We start from the raw sequence: 24,773 nt of genomic DNA on the forward strand, positions 1-24,773 counted from the left end.
TACTAGGCCAGGCGCAGTGGCTCATGCTTGTAATCCCAGCACTTTGGGAGGCCGAGGGGGGTGGATCATTTGAGGTTAGGAGTTTGAGACCAGCCTGGCCAACATTGTGAAACCCCGTTTCTACTAAAAATACAAAAATTCGCTGGGTGTGGTGGCAGGTGCCTGTAATCCCAGCTACTCAGGAGGCTAAGGCAGGAGAATTGCTTGAACCAGGGAGGTGGAGGTTGCAGTGAGCCGAGATCGTGCCACTACACTCCAGCCTGGGTGACAGAGCTAGACTGTCTGAAACAAACAAATAAACACATCCAAATACTAAATTAAGGTGGGTGACGGGAACTCCAGTCCCTTGGTCTTAAAACAAACAAACAAAACAAAGCAAGCCTAATTCCCCTTAATGGGGAAAATCTGAAAGATCAATAAACATAGGCCATTAAATTCCATTCCACCAGAAATCAAAGCCATGAAAAATTAAAACAAAGAAATGGAATTTCACAGCCATTAGCTTAGCAAAAATTCAAATGTCTGCTGTATTCATTGTTGGGGAATTGTAGCAAAAGGGAATCTGTACCCAATTTGGAAAAGCCTTTTGGTATTGTCTAATGAAATGGAAAGCCTCCAATCGCATATGTTACTCAACAATACCTTTGAGAAGGCAGGACACGTTTAATTACTAGGGTTTTGGGGACAGACAGGCTGGGTTTGATCTCAGCTTTTTTTCCTGCTAGCTGTGTGATTTGAGCAATTTAGTAACTAGGCTTTAGATTTTCATTTTATGAATTAGGGCAATTAGAGTTTTGTTGAAGGCAAATAAGTTTAATATTTATAAAGAGCACTAAAAAAATACTCCCAAAGAACAGCTCACATATATACACAAAGAAGCATTGATAACTTTGTTTCTTGCCATATTGTTTGTAAAAGAGGAAAAGTGGAAATGATCAAGCAGAAAGGGAGTAATTAAGTGTTAATAACTCCTAGTGTGTGCATACCAGCTATATCACAGTTACACAAATTGGCTCAACCTATGCATAACTAAAAGGATAATAAAATAATTTACAAAAAGATTATACAATAATGTACTTCTAATGTAAATTTTAAAAATATTCACTAGGTATTATTTAGTGATACATGTATTTTTAGTGACAATATAAAAATGTACTTTGGAAGACATAGTGAGAATATAATTAATTGATACACAGCTTGGGAATTTGTCCTCAATGGCTTTCTCTCTCATAAGTTTTTGTGAATCGGTTTCAATTTGCAATGGAGTGCCCTAGAAGGCAAATAGAATAGAGTGAATTATAAATATAGTGTGCTTGATATTCTTAATTTGGAAGAAAATACTTAAAAGGTGTGCACTGTTACAGTAGTTAATATGTGTGTGTTTATGTGTGTGTGTATATATGTAAAACAAATGTCATATGCATTTACATATGTTTATATATACATTTTATATCAATATATACATGTGCACTGTTACTGTAAATTAGCATGTTGTATATATGTGTATATATAAATAAAACAAATGTCATATACATTTATATACAATTGTATATACATTTTATATCAATATGTACGTGTGCACTATTATAGTAATCAGTATGTGTGTATATATGTGTGTATATATAAATAAAAAATATCATATACATTTATATACATTTTTTACATCAATATTAAACATTTTAATAAACATTTAACATATACAGATGACCCTTGAACAAAATAGAGATCAAAGATGCCTCCTTAACCTAGAATTTTTAAAAGATGAAATTTACATTAATTCTTTTTATTAAATAAAATGATTTTTTGGTGAAGTTGAGGTTTGTTTGATGACAATCACCTCCCTATAGCTGCCAAGGTGGTGGTGGTTTGTTGCATTCAACAAACTTCACTTGGTAAACTTCAACTTTACCAATAATCACTTTATGTAATAAAAAGCACTAAAGCAAATGAATATATACATTTATATGTAGGTGTATATGACATTTATTTTATATACACACACAGACACACACATGTATACACACACACATATATATACACACACACATACTCATTACTGTAACAGTGCACATCCTTTAAATATTTTCCAAATTAAGAACATCAAGCAAGCGACATTTAAAATTCATTGCATTCTGTTTGGCTTCTAGGGCACTCCACTGCAAATTGGAATTTGTTCACATAAATTGAGTAAACATCCTATGACAGAGGAAGCCCTTGGGGACAAATGCCTGTGTTGTGTATCAATTAATGACATAAAAATAATCTAGTGTATCTCCTTTTTAGATGGCAGCTCTATAAGATGTGTCTGTGTAGCTGGTGGTTTAGAAACTGTCTAAACAGAACTACCTGGATGCCCATATTGTAATCATTCAGTCAGAATATTGTGTCTATTTTTTGTGGCTTGAAATGTTGAAACATAGAGAAGAAATGCAAATAACAAAAAATTTAAGAGTGTAACAAAATTAATTTTACCAAACACAATTAGGTATATATATAAATATATAATTTAAATATAAATGTGTATGTATGTGTGTGTATATGCATATACAGTTGACTCTTGAACAACATGGGTTTGAACTGTGTGAGTCACTTATATTTGGTTTTTTTCCCACCTCTGCCACCATTGAGAAAGCAAGACCACCTCCTCTCCCTCCTCTTCTTCGGCCCACTCAACGTGAAGATGATGGGGATGAAGGCCTTTAGGGTGATCCACTTCCACATTGTGAATAATAAGTATATTTTCTCTTCCTTAGGATTTTCTTAATGACGTTTTCTTTTCTATAGCTTACTTTATTGTAAGAATACCGTATATAATACATATAATGTATAAAATGTGTGTTAATTGACTGTTCACGTTATCGGTAAGGCTTCCAGTCAACTGTAGGCGATTAATAGTTAAGTTTTGGGGGAGTCAAAGTTATACATGGATTTTCAAATACATGTGGGAGTGGGACGGCGAGTTGTTCCTTACCTCTGTGTTGTTCAAGGGTCAACTGTATATGGTAAATGTTTATATAAATGTATGTATTGATATAAAAATGTGTATATAAATGTTCACAAACATATAAAATATGCACAGATCCAAGTTATATATATGTACCATATATATGTGTACCATATATATGTATGTACCATATATGTGTACCATATATATGTATGTACCATATATGTGTACCATATATATGTATGTACCATATATGTGTACCATATATATGTGTGTACCATATATGTGTACCATATATATGTGTGTACCATATATATGTACCATATATATGTGTGTACCATATATATGTACCATATATATGTGTGTACCATATATATGTACCATATATATGTGTGTACCATATATATGTACCATATATATGTGTGTACCATATATATGTGCCATATATATGTGTGTACCATATATATGTGCCATATATATGTGTGTACCATATATATGTGCCATATATATGTGTGTACCATATATATGTGCCATATATATGTGTGTACCATATATATGTGCCATATATATGTGTGTACCATATATATGTATGTGCCATATATATGAACCATATATGTGTGTACCATATATATGTATGTACCATATATATGAACCATATATGTATGTACCATATATATGTATGTACCATATATATGAACCATACATATATGTACCATATATATGTACCATACATATGTGTACCATATATATGTGCCATACATATGTACCATATATATGTGCCATATATATGTGCCATATATATATGGTACATATATATGTGTACCATATATATGTGTACCGTATATATATGTGCCATATATATACGCCATATATATATGTGCCATATATATGTACCATATATATATGTGCCATATATATGTACCATATATATGTAGCATATATATGTACCATATATATGTAGCATATATATGTACCATATATATGTAGCATATATATGTACCATATATATGTAGCATATATATGTACCATATATATGTAGCATATATATGTACCATATATATGTAGCATATATATGTACCATATATATGTAGCATATATATGTACCATATATATGTAGCATATATATGTACCATATATATGTAGCATATATATGTACCATATATATGTAGCATATATATGTACCATATATATGTAGCATATATATGTACCATATATATGTAGCATATATATGTACCATATATATATATACACACCATATATATATATATACACACACACCATATATATATATATACACACACACCATATATATATATATATATATATATATATACATATATATACACACACACACACATCAATACAAGTTTAGGTACAAATGCTCCTTAACTTATGATGGGGTTATATCCCAGTAAACCCATAGCAACTTGAAAATATCGTAATTTGAAAATGCATTGAATATGCCTAACCTGCCAAACATCATAGCTTAGCCCAGCCTCCCTGAAACATGCTCAGAGCACTTACATAGCCTATAGTGGAGCAAACTCCTCTGGCAACACAGAACACTGTAGAATGTTGGCTGTGAACCTTTCTGATTGCAGGGATGAGCGGGAGCTGGCTCCCTGCTGCTGTCCAGCCTGGTAAGAGAGGAAAACAGCACTTTCCACTGCATGCATATTGTTCTCACACCACCGTGAAGTCCGGAAATTGTAAATGGGACCATCCTAAGTCAAAGACCATCTGTATATCAATTTATATGTATACAAGTTTTTATGTAAATATATAAATGTATATGTATGTATATACAAGTGTATATATAAATATGTATGTGTACATGTATACAAGTTTATATATAAATAAATGTAATTATATATGATTGATAGGGTTTGGCTCTGTGTCCCCACCCAAATCTCATCTGGAATTGTAATTCCCATGTGTCCAGGGAGGGGCCTGGTGAGAAATGATTGGATCCTAGGGGCGGATTTCCCCATTGCTGTTCTCGTGATAGTGAGTGAGTTATCATGAGATCTGATGGTTTAAAACTGTGGCACTTCCTTGCTCTCTCTCGCTCCCGCTGCCGTGAGAAGACGTGCCTTGCTTCCCCTTCACCTTCTGCCATGATTGTAAGTTTCTTGAGGCCTCCCCAGCCACGCGGAACTTTGAGTCATTAAACCTCTTTCCTTTATAAAGTACCCAGTCTCAGGTATCTTTTTATAGCAGTATGAAAATGGACTAATGCAGTGATATATAAGTATACTGTATATATTATTATATACATATATACAATAATTTTACTAAACAAAACCAGGTACATATATAAAGATGTAAGATATTTTATTTTATTTATTTATTTGAGACAGGGTCTTGCTCTGTGGTCTAGGCTATAGTGCAGTGGCATGATCTGGGCGCCCTGCAGCCTAGACCTCTGGGGCTTAAGCAATTCTCCACCTCAGCCTCTGTCTCGAGGAGCTGGGACCACAAGCTTCCACGCCTGGAAAATTTTTGTATTTTTGGTAGTGATAGGGTTTTGCCACGTTGCGCAGGCTGGTCTCGAACTCCTGAGTTCCAGCAATCCGTCCGCCTCGGCCTCCCAAAGTGCTGAGATTTACAGGCATGAGTTGCCATGCCCAGCCTAAAGATGTAATTTAAATATGGAGGTGGATATTCATTTATGTACTATATAAAAGTGTATATAAGTATATGTAAATATGCATAATATACTTAAACTTTATATATACTAATTTTTATATAAACATATAAATTTATATATGTACATAACTTTAACATATATATGTGTGTTTTTACATTTTTTCCAATATTTCCCCACTTTATTAAGGTTGACCACCATGATATTTATGTATCTAAACATTTTTTATAAGTTTTCAGTGATGTTTAGATTCTGAATTATTTTTCCAGAATTAAGTTAATTTAGGGAAATTTGTTTGTATTTTATAGAGAACAATTTTCTTTAGGATACAGATAGGAACATGTATAATTTGCAAATATTACAAAGATGATTTCCGAATCTCAGCTGACCTCTTTCCCAATTGCAAGCACTCATTTAGTCTTTAGTGACAAGAGAGAACAAAAACAACCACCTACACACGTCTGTGTGAGATTCTGGTGGCTTAGAAATCCCTGAAAGAGCAGTAAACTGTGATTATTGAAAAGCTCAGAACACTGGCAAGGCTTAAGTGCAAAGCATTTAACAGAAGGCCACAAGAATCGTTTTCCTAACAGGAGCTAGGAACTATAAATGTCATTTAGGAATGCACTGAAATGCCGTTGCCTAGTGTTAGTGTTGCACAGAAACTCCTGGTCATTTCTTCTGGATCTATTATTTTGGGTAAGCTTCCACTATCATACCATGGCCCTGCCCTCCAGCTGCACAGGCAGCCGCTAAGGCATACTGGCCTCCTTCCTTCCGTAATCTGTTGGCAGCTGCCACGACCAACCTGCAGCCAGTAGCTCCAAATGGGTGTTCCAGGGACAGAGATCCACCCCAGTTATTAAACTTCTCCGAAGGAAGCAATGTAACCTTGCTTTTTCTACCCATGTAATTTTGTGCAAACTAATCAGAATCCATGGCTTTAAAATTAGCTAAAATCTTACCTGAGAAAGCTTTGTGAAATTCAAAAGCATCAATATCACTCATGGTTAATCCTGCCTTTTCTAGAATTTTTGGAGTCGCATATGTTGGTCTGAATAATAGTTGATCTTTCAGATTGTGAGACACGTACATAAAATCCCTCAAACACTCCTTCGGCTTATAACCCATTGCCAGAGCCTTTTCCTCTGCCTCAGATGCGCCATCAGTCAAGAAAGAAGAATTTGCAGCTGTCGCTGTGCCGTAGGGCTTGATGAATGCAGGTTTTAGTTTAGCCATCTGCTCCAGTGAGGAAGGACGGATGCCATTATGTTTGGTAACTGTATCTTTTCCTGGTACTTTGAAGGGTACGACATCAGAAAGGAGTCCTTCATCCTGTGCCTTCTTGGCCAGACTGGGACAGCGCAGTGCATATTCATCCTGTTCCAGTCGAGAAACAGCCAATTGGTCTGCAGAGTGGCCCGTGGTCTCACTGGTGGAGAACTCAGAAACCTCAGGGAGCTCAGGTGCTGGGAAATTCAATTGGCATTTAGAGATTGAAGACAGTCACTGGCCCACAAATTTGGCCTTACTTAGATCAAGCATCAGTTTTCTCATTTTCCTTGACTGACGAATAGGGACATGGAACATCAACTCGACACCACCTGCCATGATCACATCACACTGGCCAGAAGCAATCAAACCAACACCTGTGGTCATGGCTTGGTTGGCAGAGATACAAGCCATGGTGACAGTGTGAGCAGGAGTCTTGTCAGAGAAGGCAGTTCCAAGGGCAGCCTCTCCAGCCACATGGCTTGTTTTCACTTCCTGAATGACTGTGCCAAAGATGATATAATCAACTACTTCCTTGGGGACACTGGGCTGATGCAACAAACCCGTAAGTGTTGCTCTAGCCAAATCATGTGGTATCAGGTCTTTATACGAAGTGCCTGACAGCAAAAATGGAGTGCGAACACCATCCACCACCACAATATTCCTTATATTGGGTTTGGCTAATGTCTTCCTCGTTTCGGTCTGGATGGCTGGGCAGCTCGCAACTGGGAGGAATAGCTCAGAGGTCTTATGGAAAATCTGAGGGACCATTCTGATGCAGTGAGAAGTGCATCAGAAGTGCACTTTTTAAAAGTGTAAGTCAAGACGGTAGTCATTCTGGAATCTTAGCCGATGTCCGCATGGACTCCTACTCTGAGCAAGGCTCAGATCCCGTGATTTTACATTTTAAGTTTACATTTCAAAATTGGCCTAGTCATTTTATTAGCAGTACTTATGTATATTTCTGTTTTATTGAACTTATTAAGGTTACAGCTTCTTCACACTGAAAAAAATAATGCCTAAAACTTCAAAAAAGAAACATATGGACAGCCTCCTCTATGCATCCACAGTATATTAAAAGTTGATTTATGGGCACTTTGGAAATGTCAGTGTCTGACTGAAACTTTCCAGCAAGGGTTGGAGTTGTTGCTCTACTGCAGATTTTTTCTTTATTTCTGTAACAGTCCTTCATTAATCCCCTTCCCCCATGATCATCTCAGCTTATTGTTCAGGAAGTTGCCCTGACGAGCCTCTCTTGCACAAGATGGATACTGCTTAGCTAAAACCCATGGGGCAACACCAACGATATTATAGAGAAATTCTGGCTAAACTAGAGACTTTCTCTGGGCAGCAGAAATCTTTAGGGAAGAAGTAACTGGCAGGTACTGTCAGAGAAATGTTGGGTAATCCTGTTGGGAAATCAAAACATCATTTCTTCATTGACCCTTTCATGAGGTCTGAATTCCTAAAGAAAAAAAAAACAGTTGATGCTGTCACTGGTGAGTTTTACACACCCATATGTTTTACTCTTCCCCTTAGCAAAAGCAAAACTACACTAGGCATAGAGATTTACTATCCTGAATCTCAATCTCTGTATGCAGTATTCCTATCACACTGCAGTATTTCTATAGAACTAAAATGACAGAAGCACAGAGTGTCTAGATTCTGAAGCTGGAGGGCATGAAACATTCATGCCACTGGCCATAGCTATGAGTGACTTTCTCAAGTCTTTTTTTAAGAGAAACAATTCTCTGAAAGTTATAACCCCACAGCTACTAGAAACAGAAATTCTATATCACTAGACTGCTGGTATTTTTCCTATGCTTTGCCCAAAGAGCAGCATGAAGACAGACTAAATGATCCATATTGGAACTACCTGAGTCAATCCCTTCATCTGTGACTCCCAAACACTGAAAATATTGCCATAAATATGATACCTACAATTACTGTTCAGCATCATGCAAATGCCCGGTTAGCCTGAAACTCAGAAATGTTTAAAAAAAAATCCTAAGGTTGTAGGAGATTTTCCCCTCATGTTGTTTGAATTGCTAAGAAGTCTTACAGTGGACTTCTTACCTTAGCATATCCATGGACTAACTATGGTCCATGGGCCAAATCCGGCTCACCACTTGTTTTTATAAATAAAGTTTTATCGGAAAACAGCCATACCCATTCATTTATGTATTGTGTGTGCCTGCTTTTTTGCTACAATGGCAGAGTTGAGTTACTGCAACAGAGTTTATATAACTCACAGAGCTGAAAATATTTACTATTTGACTCTCTCCAGAAAAAGTTGGCCAATTTCATAGCACTGTTAACAGTACTAAAACATAAAGCTGTTTTTCCCGTTTTCTTCTACTCTTTCTCAACTTGTCATGTCTTTAAAAAATAAATTTCTTTTTGATGTCTTTCTAAGTAAGGAAAAATTAAAATATTTAGTCACTGGCATAGTTTTCCATTTTTATCTTTATATTGTGCAATGCCAATTTTGAACTCCAATATCTGAGCAGTTAACATGTATTCAGAAATCACTGAAATTACACAAGCTGTTATTTTGTAGCACATGCGTAAGTATCTACTGCATTCTTACCACAACACGGGAAGTGTGCTACACAAAATGAACTTAGCTGATTTTATTTCACTTCTTGATATGGACATACTCTAGCAACACTGTACCTTCAGCTCACTGATGGTAAGGAAGTCATGCAATGAAGGGGAGCCACAGGTTGTCATCTCATCCCATCCCTTCTATGGCATCATTTTCAGCATAAGTGGTTGGCCGATGTGTCAAGAAGAATAGGAGATAGGATAGAGTTTTTGTTTGTTCTTGGATTGTTTTTAGAATGTCATTGCCACTTTTCTATATTTGAAGCAAGTTCTAACTTGGACACAAAGCATGGCCTCTCTGGGCTGCAAGAGCACTCACTTTGTCGTAGAAGTAACAGCCACCCTTTGTGCACACTGTGAATCTCACCGAATTCCCCCTATTGCCAGTCCAGCAGAATTCTGTGCTCAAGGGGCTTCATGAGCATTGTACGCTATTGGGTAGCAAAGAACAGTGGCAGAACTGCATACGATGCATATCTCCTCTGACCACGTGCATGCATGCCTCTTCGTCCATTGCACTCCAGGTACAAAACAAAAATGCAAAGATTAACTCTTTCAGAATTTCAAGACAGCAGTGGCAGACCTCTAACCCTAGCATGGGGCACTTCTGACCCCAGGACCCTTTGCAATTGCTTGGGGCCATACACCTGTGAAGGAGGCCCTGAGTTAGGGAATGGAAAAGTAAATGAATGCTACTCGATTTCTGTTTTCAACCAATGCTTTCCTTACTCATGAAAGGAGACAACTATACTGATTTCATGCTAAGTTTTCTAGCACTACTCTATTGTTAGAGAACACATTCTTAAGTTTTGCTTGATTTTGAATGTTATGTAAAAGAATCTTACTGTTTGTAGTGTCTTCCTTGGGTTCTTTCCTTGAACATGATATTTTTCAGAGATTCACCCATATTGATTCATATTCATGAAGCCTAGGGATCTTCATTGCAGTGTAGTATTTCTGTGTAATTGATTTAACACAAATGATTATCCATTCTCTTTTTGATAAGCATGTGTATGTTCTGAGTTTTTTTCAGGATTCTAAGCTCCTTTGAATTTCAGTTTTCTGAGAGTTTTGTGCAGGAAAATTTGCAATATTTTATTGGTTTTTTGGTATCTATAGAAAAGTGAATATATTGAGATGATTGTTTGTATATTAACAGAGGCGAATTATATTTTAAAAATACTCAAGCACTAAGAAAACTATTGTACATTCCTGAAATGAACTTCAATTGGTCATGATGCATATTATATTTTCTAGCTCCTTCAAAAGAAGGTGTTAGAAACATGCCTATAGGTGTTTCATGGTCTAAGGAGTTCCTGAGTATATATGACATATGCATTCAAGTAGGATTCTTCATTTATTGTTCATTTTTAGAATAGACATTGTAAAGTGACAGCAAACTATTCTGAAAGCATGGTGAGAATTTATAATCCAAGATATGAGAGAAGGTTCACATGGATCCACGCCTCAACGTCGCTCAGTGTTTCGGCCAACGATATGGGTAAGAAATGATTCCTCATTGTTAATGAAATTTATGTTTATTTTTTATGAATGAACTTTAAAGATTTCATATTTTTATAAGACCTAAATGATAACTTTTCTCTAAACCACCTGTTTAAAATATTCCCAATATTTATACTGTAGTATAGGTATGTGTGTTCGTGCGTATCTTGTTGATATATTTGCTGGTAAAATATATTGAAAATATATTCTCCGAATTGGATGCCTCACCTGTCAGTCTACTTTAACATTGGATGGACAGGATTTTTAACTTTAATGTAGTTGAATAAATCAAACTTTACATTTTTGGTTATAGTTTTTCATATATATATATATATATATATATATATATATATATATTTTTTTTTTTTTTTTTTTTAAGACAGAGTTTCACTCTGTGTCACAGGCTGCAGTTCAGTGGCCTGATCTCGGCTCACTGCAACCTCCACCTCCCAGGTTCAAGCGATTCTCCTGCCTCAGCCTCCTGAGTAGCTGGGATTACAGACGTGTGCCACCAGGCCTGGCTAATGTTTGCATTTTTAGTGGAGACAGGGTTTTGACATGCTGGCCAGCCTAGTCTCGAACTCCTGGCCTCAGGTGATCTGCCAGCCTCAGTCTCCCAAAGTGTTGGGATTATAGGTGTGAGCCATTGCGCCTGGCCCAGGTTTTGATATACTTAATCATCCAGTGTTATAAAGATATTTTCAAACACTTTGAAATTTTTGATGTTTTTAATGCTCCTAAGTTTTAAAGTTCTAATATTTGGCTTCAAGCTCTAAGCAAACCTGTAATTTTTTAAATTTAATTATTTATTTAAAGTTTATCATTTGTACAAGGATGTTTTACCAAAAGGTTTACCTTTCTTCATTCATGAATGAATGAATAAATTATGTATCCATAAATATCTGTTTGGGTTCACTCTTTGTTTTTGGTGATAGGTAAACCTATCCTAGCATCAATATTTTGCTCTTCTAAGATTTAGTAATAAGGCATGAAATCTCATGGAACACATCTCCCACCTTCAGCATTTCCAGAAACATTTTCTTGGCATATGTCAGGCAATTGTCTGTCTATATAAATTTTTTAATTAGCTTATCGATTTCTACAACACATCCTTTTGGCAATTTTATTTAAATTTCATTGAATTAGTAGGTTAATTAGGAGAGAATTGACATCATTATTTATTGAGTCTAATTATATTTTGTCAAGTAAATTTGTTTGTTGCCTTTATAAATTATATGCTAATTTACATTTTCTAAATGATGTTACTATTGAAGGAAAGGAAACTGATTTTTAAATTTGATATTGTATCCAACAACACTATTAAATACTAATATTGATTTGACCAATTATCAGTATATTTGTCTGGATTTTTTTTCTATGTATTATCATATGGTTGATAAATAATGACATTTTCCTCCTTTTCAATTCATAAAACTCTTATTTCTGTCCTCTTCTATCCAGCAAAATACAGAAGAGAGGTCTGATAAAAAGCATTATTATGTTTCCTGATCTTAAATATAACAAACATTATTTGCTATAGGTTTTCTTAGTGGTCTGTCCCTCGTTAAGAAAGGACCTTTGAATTCCAGTTTTCTGAGAGTTCTGTGCATGAAAATTTGTAATATTTTATGGATTTGTTGGTATCTATTGATAAGTGAATCTATTGAGATGATGGTTTATATATTAATAAGGGTGAATTATATTTTAAAAAATATTCCAGCACTAAGAAAAAGATTGTACGCTCCTGAAATGAACTTCAAGTAGTCATGATGAATATTGTATTTTATGCAATCCTTTTTTACACATGTGTATCTGTAATTTCACTTCTATGTTGATGAGCGAGACAGGCCTGGAGTAAATCAGTCTACCACATTCTTTTCAAGGGAACTTGAGTTTGACAGATTCATGCATCTCAACTCAGCATTGTAAACTCTTAACAATGAATCCGTCACAGCTGGGACCAAAGTTAAAAATAATTGCTATCTAAGTATAAGTGTTAGAATAAATTATTTCCAACGTTTCCCCTCACGTTAAGTTTCTCTGATTCTTGATGTATTCTTTAATTAAACTGGAAACACAATTATGACTTTTATCATTATTGAATTCATAATATATTTGGTAAAATAATTTCTTTTTAAGTAAAACATTTAACAATGCAGTTTGGTTCACGTTAATTACACTTTGAAGAACCCTTTATATTACTTGCCTAGAGACAGAGTATGTGGGTAGGCAATTGATCAATATTCTGCTAAACTTTACTTATGAGAGTTTCTATTGAAACAATTATGTATTGTTGCTTTTGTTTGTCATTAATTTAGTAATTATATCTTGAAAATTTAGTATGTGCTGTTTTAATTATTACACAGGCAATATCTATTTATCTATGGTCTATATCTATATTTATCTACCACGTATGTGTATTTATTATCCATCATCATGATCTATTATTTATCATCAATTTATCTACCTGTCATCTATTTATATTTATCATCTATTCCTACGTATCATCTATCTTCCCCATTAAAATACCTACCCATATCTATCTATGTACCTTATCTATCCATCTTTCTATCTTTTTACATTACACAGAAGTGGTTTATCTTTTAGTGGTGGGGGACATTTTAGGCACAGAGTATAGACTCTATAAAATCTTATTGAATTGAGTTGAATTAAAAGCGTTTCTTTGCAGGATGTGGTGTCTCATGCCTGTAATCTCAGTACCTTGGGAGGCTGAGGCAAGAGGATTGCTTAAGGCCGGGTGTACAAGACCAGCCTGGACAATATAGCGATACATAATAATAATAATAATTAGTCAGGTATGGTGGTACACACCTGTGATTCCAGCTACTTGGGAGGCTGCTGCAGGAGGATCGCTTGAGCCTGGGAAATCGAGGCTGCAGTGAGCTGCGATTGAGCCACTGCACTCAATCCCCATGCCACTCGATACCTCATGCCACTGCTACTTCACACAATACCCCATGATTGAATGTTTATAAATAGGTTCCTAATAGTCGATATTGACACACTTATGCATGTCAACCAGAAGACAAAAAAAAAGGTTAATACATTGCTCTATAAAACACCTTTATTTGGAGAACAAAATAGGCCTTTACAAGCTCAGGAAAATATTCTGCTCTTTGAAACCCACTATATTTTTCTGTGCACAGATATGGCCCATGTGCTTATGCCAAAGATTCTGGTAAGTAATGTTATTCTTCTGATCCACCATTGGTCTCAAATGAAACATGCTAGTTCACTTAAAAATCGATTAAAAATAAAACTGATGAGAGGGCCATTGGGATGCAGAGAAAACAATATTTAAAAAATCTAACACTAACGGACAGAATTAACTGAGTTCTACGTAATTCATCCCTGTAAAGATGGCAATGTGCAGATTAATGTAATTACTGAAATTAATTTTTGATTGTGGGTACAGTGAAGGCAAAATTTACTTTTACATTTTATTTTTATTTCCTATTTTCTCTAAATTTTAATAGCTTTTGGGGGTACAAGTGGTTTTTGGTTACATGGATGAATTATATGGTGGTGAAGTCTGAGATTTTTTTGATCCCTAGCCTCCCTCAGAATCAGAAATTGTAAATGAAGCTTTGATTCACAGTTGTAAGAAGCATGGTATGCATATATAAATATAAATATTACATCTATGTCTACAGATATATGTAAATAGCTTTTTTTGCTCATATATTTTGTTGATTCTGACTAATTTCAGTAATCACAAGAGCAATTTGTTTCCTTATGTCAGAAGTTTAAATGGTTGAAAACCTGTTCTTGTTTTCAATCTCAAGCAATTTTAAAAGGCAAAAGATTTATGTGATCTGAAGAGAAACCAGAGTATTGCAAGCAATTTTTCATGGTATAAAGAGTTAACACAACAGCAATAACCCCTGAAACATTAAACTTATGACGTAATTAACCTAATAAAAAACCATGTAATACATTGTTCGGTTCTTAATTACACGTCACTTCTGAAATGTTTACACTAGTAAACGTGAAATCACTGGGTCTCAATTTCTGTAATCATCAAATAAATACAATTACCAGGTTGATTTTAGGATTAAATTTTAAAATTTCACGTATTCTTTGCATAAGTGCATGCATTATGATTTTATATTTGAATGCATATCAAGTAGTTGAAGATTTAGCTAACATGACTGTTAAATAATGAATAGGGATTGATGTATTTTTAAGAGTAGTGAACATCTATTTGACCCACTGTAAAAGTGTAAAATCGAATCACTTAGTTACCACCATAGTGACAGTACAACTTACTGCAGACAGAAATGCAGGCAGCTCTCTTTGGTAGGAACAAAATCATCCTATTCCCTCAAAACCACCTTGTCTAGATGGTTCATTTGACATTAATACGTGGAGACAAGCCATCATGAGGGGGGACATTTAGAATAGATGTCTTACACATGCAGACCTCATATCGATGTATTAAAATATTGGCAATGAACTGTCTTCTCCTTCACAGAATATATGATTTTACCAAGGCAAGTATGGATGCAAAGTTATTTCCACAAGAATGTTTCAGAATTAAAAGGAATTGCTAAAGTCTCATTTACACCAATAAAATTAAAGATGGAAGAAAAATGATTCTCATTCTTTGACATATCAAGTTCACATTTCTGAACACCACAAAAAAATTATGTACTTTAAGAAGGTTCATATAGAAATAAAAAGATGATTACCAGACCAAGAATATCATAGTGGCATCATACTTATCATAGAACACATATGAGATTATTAAACATTAGAGTCATAATGAAAATCAGTGGAGACAGTGAGAGAATGTGATTCAAGTTCATAAATAAAAATCAGCAATGAACGTTCAATGGCTAGAATTCTGTTCAATGGCTAGGATTCAATGATTTTTTTAGAAGGTGAAGAAAACACCTAGTACAGCCAACTTCTCTGAAAATCTACCACCTCAGTCATCCCCACTGATTCAATCTCTTGACGGTGTACCCTGACAAAAGATTTGCCTAGACTTGATTGAATCTAGGGGAAGATAAGAATTTCAAAAGCAGTGATAAAAAATACATCTTATAAAAAATTAAGTATTCAAGATGAACATAAAAGAATAGAATAGGCTGGGCGTGGTGGCTCCTGACTGTAATCCCAGCACTTTGGGAGGCCAAGGCCAGAGGATCACTTGAGGTCAGGAGTTTGAAACCAGCCTGGCCAACATAGAGAAACCCCATCTCTCCTGAAAATACAAAAATTAACTGGGTGTGGTAGCGCGTGCCTGTAATCCCAGCTACTCGGGAGGCTGAGGCAGGAGAATCGTTTGAACCCAGGAGGCAGAGGTTGCAGTGAGCCTGGATCATGCCACTGCACTCCAGCCTGGGTGACAGAGCGAGACTCTGTCTCAAAAAAAAAAAAACAAAAAAAAAGAATAGAATACATGGGAATTTCATAAATGTATAAAGAGATGAAAGACAAAAAAGAGAATGGGCAAATAGATTATTTAATGAGAAGGAGTAATTGTTTAATTACTCTTACAGTAAAACTTAAAACCAAGAAAGGCAAATATGAAACAAAAGTGACACAATATAAATCAAAATGAATAATAAATGCAAACAGGAAAAACATACATAAATTCTGAGATTGTATGTTTCCTGTAAGAAGACAAAGATTTTTATCTTTCATTGAACCTGAGTGATGATAGGCTGACTTCCCTAGGAATCTGTCAGGACAGTCCTATTTTTTCCCTTCCTGTTTGTAGTGACTGTGGTAGTCCCTACCTTCTTGGAAACCGGGTGAGATGCAATGCTTCTTCATAGTGCATCAGGCAGGTCCATCCAAACACCTGTACAAACACTGAGACCAGGCCACTTTATTCCTGCATTCGGTATTGCAAGGCTCAAAAGGTTTAAAGATAGCAATGATGCAGGGGAAAACATCTTTAAGTAAATAGGTAGACATTCAATGCTAGAACCTTACAGCAAGTAATGAAATGGGATCTGAAAATGTTATAAATGCATACAATTTTTGATCCAAGTGTATAAGAAAAACATTGGCCAGGCGCAGTGGCTCATTCCAGTAATTCCAGCACTTTGGGAGGCCAAGGCGGGTGGATCATTTGAAGCCAGGAGTTGGAGACCAGCTTGGCCAACATAGTGAAACCCTGTCTCTGCTAAAAATACAAAAAAATTAGCTGGGCATGGCGGTGCGCACCAGTAATCCCAGCTACTCAGGAGGCTGACGCAGGAGAATCGCTTGAACCCAGGAGGTGGAGGCTGCAGTGAGCCAAGATCGTACCACTGCAGTACAGCATGGGCAATAGAGTGAGTGGGATGCCATCTCAAAAAAAAAAAAGAGAGAAAAAAATTCTTTGTGTATAGATAGGTGTATACACATATAGTGTGTATGTGTATGTTTGTTTGCATAGAGAGAGATATAGATGTGAATATCATCTATTGTACTAGTCTGTCTCTTAAGTCTATTATTTATCTACCTTTTTATCTCCTACCCATCCATCATCCATCATCTATCTCATCTATCAAATATGATCTATCATCAATAATCTATATTTCATAGGTATCACTTAAATATGTTTTCTATTATCTAACCTTCCATCCATCCATCGTTTATCTATCATTATATATTTATCAATATTCTAAATTTTATGTATATTATTCATATATGTTTTCTATTATCTTTCTCAACTACCTAGCTATCCTGTTTATCTATTTATCAATTACCTATTATCAACAAGCTGTATTCATAGCTATCATTTAAATATATTTTCTGTCATTTATTTATCCATCCATTCATCATCTAGCTATATCTATTGCCTTCCTCAATTATCTAAATTCATATCTATTATTTAAATAGCATTTCTGTTATCTATCAATCCATCCATCATCTATCTCTCATTTATCTATCTTCTATCATACATCCATCATTTATCATCAATTAGCTATATTTTATATCTATTGTTAATGTATATTTTCTATTATCCATCTATCCATCTTCTGTCTATTAATTTCATCTGTCTATTGCATCTATCCACAGAACCACATACAAACATCTGAGTAGTACTGACTGTCCACAGATTATGAATTTCAAGGAGAAAGGGAAGAAGAAAGAGTAAAAACGCAAGGCATTTTCCCAAGGGCCTCCCTCCCCGGTATTCCACCCACATCTCCTAAAGTGGGGCTAGATGGTGTGGCTCTGTGAGACAGAAGGTTGAGTGTTTACTGCAAGTTAGTCAACAGAAAAGAAAGGGGAAAAGCAAGTAGGCAGTGTATTTTGAACAGCCATTCCCCAGGGCCTGTGGAAGTTGTCAATTTAGGTTATGTAATTTTATTTGCCCAGTTCCATTCAATATCTCTATTCATTGACATTAATATTCTTTCTGGTTGCATTTTTACTTTGCCATTTTCAAAGGAGACGGTGCTTATAGAAGTAAATCTTTATGACTTTATTGAGGATTCTTCGATATCCCTCTGCTACTGAGTTTATGAAGGAGAAAATATTGTCTTTTTCAACATAAATCTAAGTTTTATGTAACAGGACAATATTTGGTAATTTTACTCATTTTCTGAAAGAAGTATGAGGTAAACTACCATATGTCCTCGGTATCCATCCATTATTTCAGAGTGTACAGATTGCTTATCTTTAAAGATAAAATTATTGTAATTCCGAGACATGATGGAAAAAAACTGAGATGAAGTCTATTTTCATCAGCACAAGTAAATCAAAGGACATCACCTAAATAATTCATTTTTCTAAAGTAGTTTGATGTTTGGGATCAATATAATTATGCCAGCATCTTGATACATGGATGGACAAAACCTGAAAATACACACTGTACATTTCATAATGTGTTATTTTAAAACTACTGTACTTACAGAATTGTGCCTAAGTCTTTTTTTGAATACCGAACACCTGCTTTCGTGTATTTCCTAGCCACCTCAATGGACTGCCTTTACAAGAATTAATTTGATCTCTGGCTTAATGAAGTCACATATTTTCTTTTTTGTTTGTTTGTTTTTGTTTTGTTTTGTTCTTGAGACGGAGTCTCGCTCTTGTCCCCCAGTGCAATGGTGCGATCTTGGCTCACTGCAACCTCCACCTCCCGGGTTCAAGCAATTCTCCTGCCTCAGCCTCTCGAGTAGCTGGGATTACAGGTGCCTGCCACCATGCCTGGCCAATTTCTTTTTGTATTTTTAGTAGAGAAGGAGTTTCACCATGTTAGCCAGGCTGGTCTCAAACTCCTGACCTCAGGGGATCCACCCGCCTCGGCCTCCCAAATTTCTGGTATTACAGGTCTGAGCAGCCATGCCCGGCCTAAGTTGCATATTTTCAACACCTGTCTTCTTCAAAGCTCAACTGCCAAGTTTTCTTTTATTTAATGCGTATTGAGAATCACTGAAACAATAACTTTCCTGTATTTTAATGAGGTTTCTTTTTCCCTCTTCTATTTTATTTTTGGAGAATTCTTTATACAGTAGAAGAATCATGAAGAAAATGCCTTGAAAAATAAAAATAAATAAAATACTGTAGCCTCATGGACATATTAGATGAGGCAATCACTGATTAATCTTTTGAGACACGTCTGATAAACTTGGAATCTATCTATATTGGGAATGTCAACCACTTTTTAAATTTTGACTTTTTGTTTTGGAAAGAGCATGTGAGAAGTGGATAATTACAAGTATTTGGCATTTGAAAGATTTCTGTCCTGGTGTCCCAAATGTCTCTGCTTCCGTGATTTAAGCATGGGAAGCAAGGGACTGTGAGTAGGCTTATATTATAAATAGCAGCAGACAAGCCCTGAGACTCTGCAGTCTTGACCTTGAAGAGTACTCAGTCTTTATGATTCCAGCAAAGTGCTGGTGATGTTACTGAACCCATCTGGGGTCTCCTTAACCGGCACAGTAAGGCCAAACATTCACACTGTGGTTTTGCAGCAAGAGAAAGGAGGGCATTTATTTGCAGGGTACCAAGCAAGGAGAATGGGGCAGGTCACACTTCACACCCAACCTCCCTGATGGCTTGCAAGTAATGGGTTTTAAACGCAGGGGTACATTTCAGTAAAGCAGAAGTCACAGGCAACATCCTAAATCAATACACGGATATTATACATTGGTTTAGTGACAGGCCAGGTCTCACTAACACAGGCCTCCATAACAACTGTTTCAGCACTGACCGAGTGGTGAAGTTAAATCTTAAAAGCTGAAAGAGCCAGCACCTTTATACAAAAGTTGGAATATAACAAAAGCCCACCAAGAGTTCTGCCCAGGGCTTTGCTTGGCCTCGAAACATGGCAAGATAACGAAGGAATTTTTAACAGGACCTGTTTAGGATGAAACAAGGTTTTTTTTCTTTACGGACGTAAAGAAACTCCCCAGACCTCCACAAACAAGTTTATGGGGGTCTGAAGGAACTCCCCAAACCTCCATGATATAGCAGGAGATAAGATAAGGGTAATCACCCCAGCACCTGGACCCATTTGGATTAAGTCAATTTACTGAGGCTCCAGAGGAAGGTCTCCAGGACTCAGACCTTAGTTCTAGATTAGAAGAAGTTCATCACTAATGTCTTTAGATGGATGCACACTTACACATAGACTTATAGCTTAGAAATAGAAGCTCTGGAAAACTTGGTAATTTTGAGTTGGTCTGGCAACAATTTCCAGGCCATCTCCCCGTGCCCAGTTACAGAAATAAACTGGCTTCTTTCCCAGTTCATCTGAACCTTGTTATTGGGCCACACGAATAAGCAGCCCAACCCTCAGTTTGGTCTGGGAACAGTTTGACCTAAAAAGGTGGATATCTTGAAGTGGGAGGCCCACAGATTACAGGTAGATTCAAAGATTTTCTGATTTGTGATTGGTTAAGGAGGCAACGTTTTATCTCAAAAGACTGGGTTCAGCAGAAAAGAATGTTAGCTCTGACCTGTGGGTGTGACTTCTTCCAGTCCCCTCAGGAAGAAATTTAAAACAAAGGTTGTGGGTCAGAGTTCAGTCTTTTGTTTCCCCTTATCTGAGGTCTACATGCTAGTAGATCCGTTTGGTGCGGTTGTGGGTTTCTGAAGAACAACTCAGGTACCTGTGTTAAAATGTTAACTTTTATTCCATGTGGGAACCAATCATCTCATGACTCTAACTTTCTTGGCTATTGTTTAAGCTATGGTTACCTTCTTGCATATCAAGTTGCTCGTTTACTTCTCAGGGTTAGCCAGGTGCCTGGAATTTCCCTTGATGGAACTCAAGATTTTCTTATATTTCTATGCTTGAAGGGGCACCCTGCAAGCCCCCTGCCCCGTCTCAGTGGAGGGGGGAATTTAGGATAAGAGAGTGGTCTTCAATAAAAGTTTTGTTATGGCTGGCTGTTATTTTAGTAGACTTTTTAAAAAGTTCCTAACGGTCAATGCTTTGCATTGCTAAACGGCTAAGCTTTTTTGTGTTATTTTAATAATTTTTTGCTTAATCCTGGCTGCTCTGCCTATGGAGTAGCCATTCTTTTATTCCTTTACTTTCTAAAGTACTAAACAGGACAAAATTTTATAACTGACATCTTACAACATTTAAAATCCCCATTTGACAAAACGTAAAAGTCATCATCACTCAGATGCCTAACATGTATAAATCTATGTCAAAATCCTTTAGAATGTATCTCTAACTCTAGAAACTGACAATAATGAATGGATGAATTTCACTGGAGCCCTCTTGCCCTGGAAAACAGGGATGCTTAAGAAATCCTTCCTCTTTTGGGTCCAGCAAGGAACATCTTTCCTAAGACTTAGGTGAGAAAGTCTGAGGTCACAGCCTCTCAACACCCCCCCACCCCATCCTACATCTTGTTTTTGATCGACAAAGTCACACCAAGCCCTTCAAATATTGATTCATTGTGTTTTAAATGATTAACTGAATTGTTTTATCCCCATGCATTAGTCAGAACAACAGGCTTGCTAAAGGAACTTTTTGTTAACAAGCATATTGCCTGTCTTTAACAGGCGCTTGAGAATAGCTGGCCTGGAGTAAAACATCCTCTCACCTACTGATTGAATCAGTTACCTTTTCATCTTCCATCCCCATAAAAGAAAAGCTCCTTTTCCACCTAACCTTTGAGATGCTAGCAGATATCATAGAAGGAGATTTCACCCGACTGCTGCTATAGTCATCCTGTTGCAATCACCCTATCCGGGAAAAATGTCTATTTACATAAATCCAAATTTGCTTTTCACACGCCAACATTCCCCTCCCACTTTTTAAAATTTTTGTTGAGATGGAGTCTCTCTGTCACACAGGCTGGAGTGCAGCACCATGATCTCACCTCATTGCAACCTCCGCCTCCCAAGTTCAAGTGATCCTCCTTCCTCAGCCTCCCAAGTAGCTGGGACTACAGGTGCCTGCCACCACACCAGGCTAATTTTTTTGTATTTTTAGTAGAGATGAGGTTTCGCCATGTTGGCCAGGCTGGTGTCGAACTCCTGACCTCAAGTGATCAGCCTGCCTCGGCCTCAGAAAGTGCTGGTATTTCAAGCATGAGCCACCGCGCCGAGCCCCCATGTGATCATTCAGGCAAGCAGAATAAGGGCTTGACTGATCTCAGAATTTATTCAAGGAAATATAACAAAAACCTATGGCTTTTTTTTCTATCTCTGAATATATTTTTATTGAGGAAACAATTTTTGATGGAAAGAAAAAAATGGGTGTTGAAGTCAGACATATCTGGTTTATATCATTGCCCCTTTTTTAACCGGCCCCCTGACCTTAAATACAGGCAAGTTACTTGCAGGTGACTTACGTCCTTTAAGCCTGTGTTTATTCATTGGAGGGAGGAAAATTCTCACAACAGAATGATTTCAAATACCATTTAAAACTAATATTTGTGGATGTCCATAGAAACAAAAGCTCAGTTACATGAAAGACTACTAATGGAATGGAAAATTGTTCATCTGTCCTCATGCCAAGTTCTCACCAAGTTAATCATTTCTCATTATTTCTTCAACTCTCCTTTCAGCCAAGATGATACTTCCGACTTCTTTATGAACATTAAGATACATTTATTTACTCCAACCTAACAATGAAAAGTAATGCACCCTTATAATCTTCATAACTTTTATAATTCTTCATTGTTTGAAAGATTCAGTCTAAAAATAATATTTTTATATCTCTATTTCTTGAACCATTACATATGGACTGTAGGATATCACATCTCTCTCTAAGTGATTAGTAAAGTAGGCATTATATATTTTCCTTGATATCTCCTCTTGCCTTCCTTAATTTACATTGGCTTTCTCACTCATTAATTGATCAAAGTTTGAAACTGATATTTTTTAATCTGTAAAAATAATGACTTCCTATTGGCTTCCAATAATGTTGATTCTGAAAATTAAAAACCAATCAATAGAATTGAGAATAATCCTTATGTGGATATTTACCAGTGGACTCCAGGGAGTATGAATGAATCTACAGAAACCTGTGTGATTTAGTCCCATGATATTAAACATGAACTGCTTTAAGTATAGTCCACGTATCAAGACAGTCATATTCTTCTTTCTTAAAATCCAGCACGTTACTTGAAAACATTGCATGACTGTGATTTTCCCTGGAGTTCACAATTGCTGTTCTATTTCTCATTGTCAAGAGAAACATCTACTCTTCCTCCCTTATCTCAGTAAGAGTTCCTTTTTGATATTCAACCTTCTTTGAATGGACTGTTTTTTTATATTTTTCTTCTCAAGGTATCTCTCAGCAGGCTTCTCTATTTCTTTGAGTCACTGGGTGAAATCATGGGAAAATATTAGTTTGTCATGCTATCCTATTTTAATGTCTTTCCTGTAGGTGGTATTTCAGGTGTACTTGATATATTTTCTGGGCTATTCCAGATATTAGTGAATTATCTGATTCATTCACATTTAAATGGCCAATGCAATCCAAAATATAATTTCAATCTGTTATTATATTTAAAAATTCCAGGCCAGGTGCAGTGGCTCATGCCTGTAATCCCAACTGTTTGTGAGTCCCAGGTAGGCAGATCGCTTGAGTTCGGGAGTTCAAGACCAGCCTGGGCAACACAGTGAAAGCCCATCTAAACACAAAATGAAAAAAATTAGCCAAGCATGGTAGCACACACCTGTAGTCCCAGCTACTCAGGAAGCTAAGATGAGAGGGTCACTTGAGCCTGGGAGGTCAAGGCTGCCGTCAACTGAGATCGAGCTACTGCACTCCAGCCTGGGCAACAGGGTCAGGCCCTGTTTTTTTTTTTGTTTTTTTGTTTTTAATTATCACTTTCCATTCATCTCCTAACCTTTTTCAAGTTTGCAAAGGTATATGGAGAAGGGTGCCATGCTCACTTATACAATTTTTTTCCTTGGGTAGTTATTGCTCCTACAGGACGTATCGCGACACCCTGCAGCTCTTGCTTCCAGCTTCTGGCCATACTTTGGGCCCTATTTTTCCTGCAGAGTCACATTCCTAGAGGAGAGAACTTTCATCAGAGACCTACCTGGGGGCTCAGGGCTGCCATCTTTCAGAAGACACTTGGCCCAAGGAAACTGTCAATCATTTTGTGCTGCCCAACAACACCAGACAACCAAGCCTATATTCTTGCAGTCTCACCTCTTTATTCAGCCTTCACTGAGGTTTGCAGACAACCTGGTACCATTCAACTTCTTCAGGTAAGAATCATCTTGCAGGCTCTCTAGTCTCTGAACCCCAGATTCACTCAGAAGGTCTCTTGATGCTATGCTTTGAATGTTTGTGTTCCCCTAGAATAACATCTTGAATCTTAATGTCAAGGTGATGGCATTAGGAGATGG

At 36.5% G+C, this 24,773-nt stretch overlaps 2 pseudogenes, besides 1 other annotated feature; one reads left to right on the top strand and one right to left on the bottom strand.

The window, feature by feature from the left end:
* Nucleotides 5,756-7,755, top strand: LOC347381 (hydroxyacyl-CoA dehydrogenase trifunctional multienzyme complex subunit beta pseudogene; annotated as a pseudogene).
* On the bottom strand, nucleotides 6,085-7,755 carry HADHBP1 (HADHB pseudogene 1; annotated as a pseudogene).
* Nucleotides 6,811-8,010: an enhancer, noted in NCBI's record as "BRD4-independent group 4 enhancer chrX:5224281-5225480 (GRCh37/hg19 assembly coordinates)". NCBI's record gives its function as "activates an origin of replication core promoter dependent on BRD2, P300/CBP, MED14 and CDK7 cofactors, and independent of BRD4, by STARR-seq in HCT116 cells {active_cell/tissue: HCT116}" and the evidence as "EXISTENCE:reporter gene assay evidence [ECO:0000049][PMID:35650434]".

This window comes from Homo sapiens, chromosome X, assembly GCF_000001405.40.
Source record: "Homo sapiens chromosome X, GRCh38.p14 Primary Assembly".
Lineage (NCBI taxonomy): Eukaryota > Metazoa > Chordata > Mammalia > Primates > Hominidae > Homo > Homo sapiens.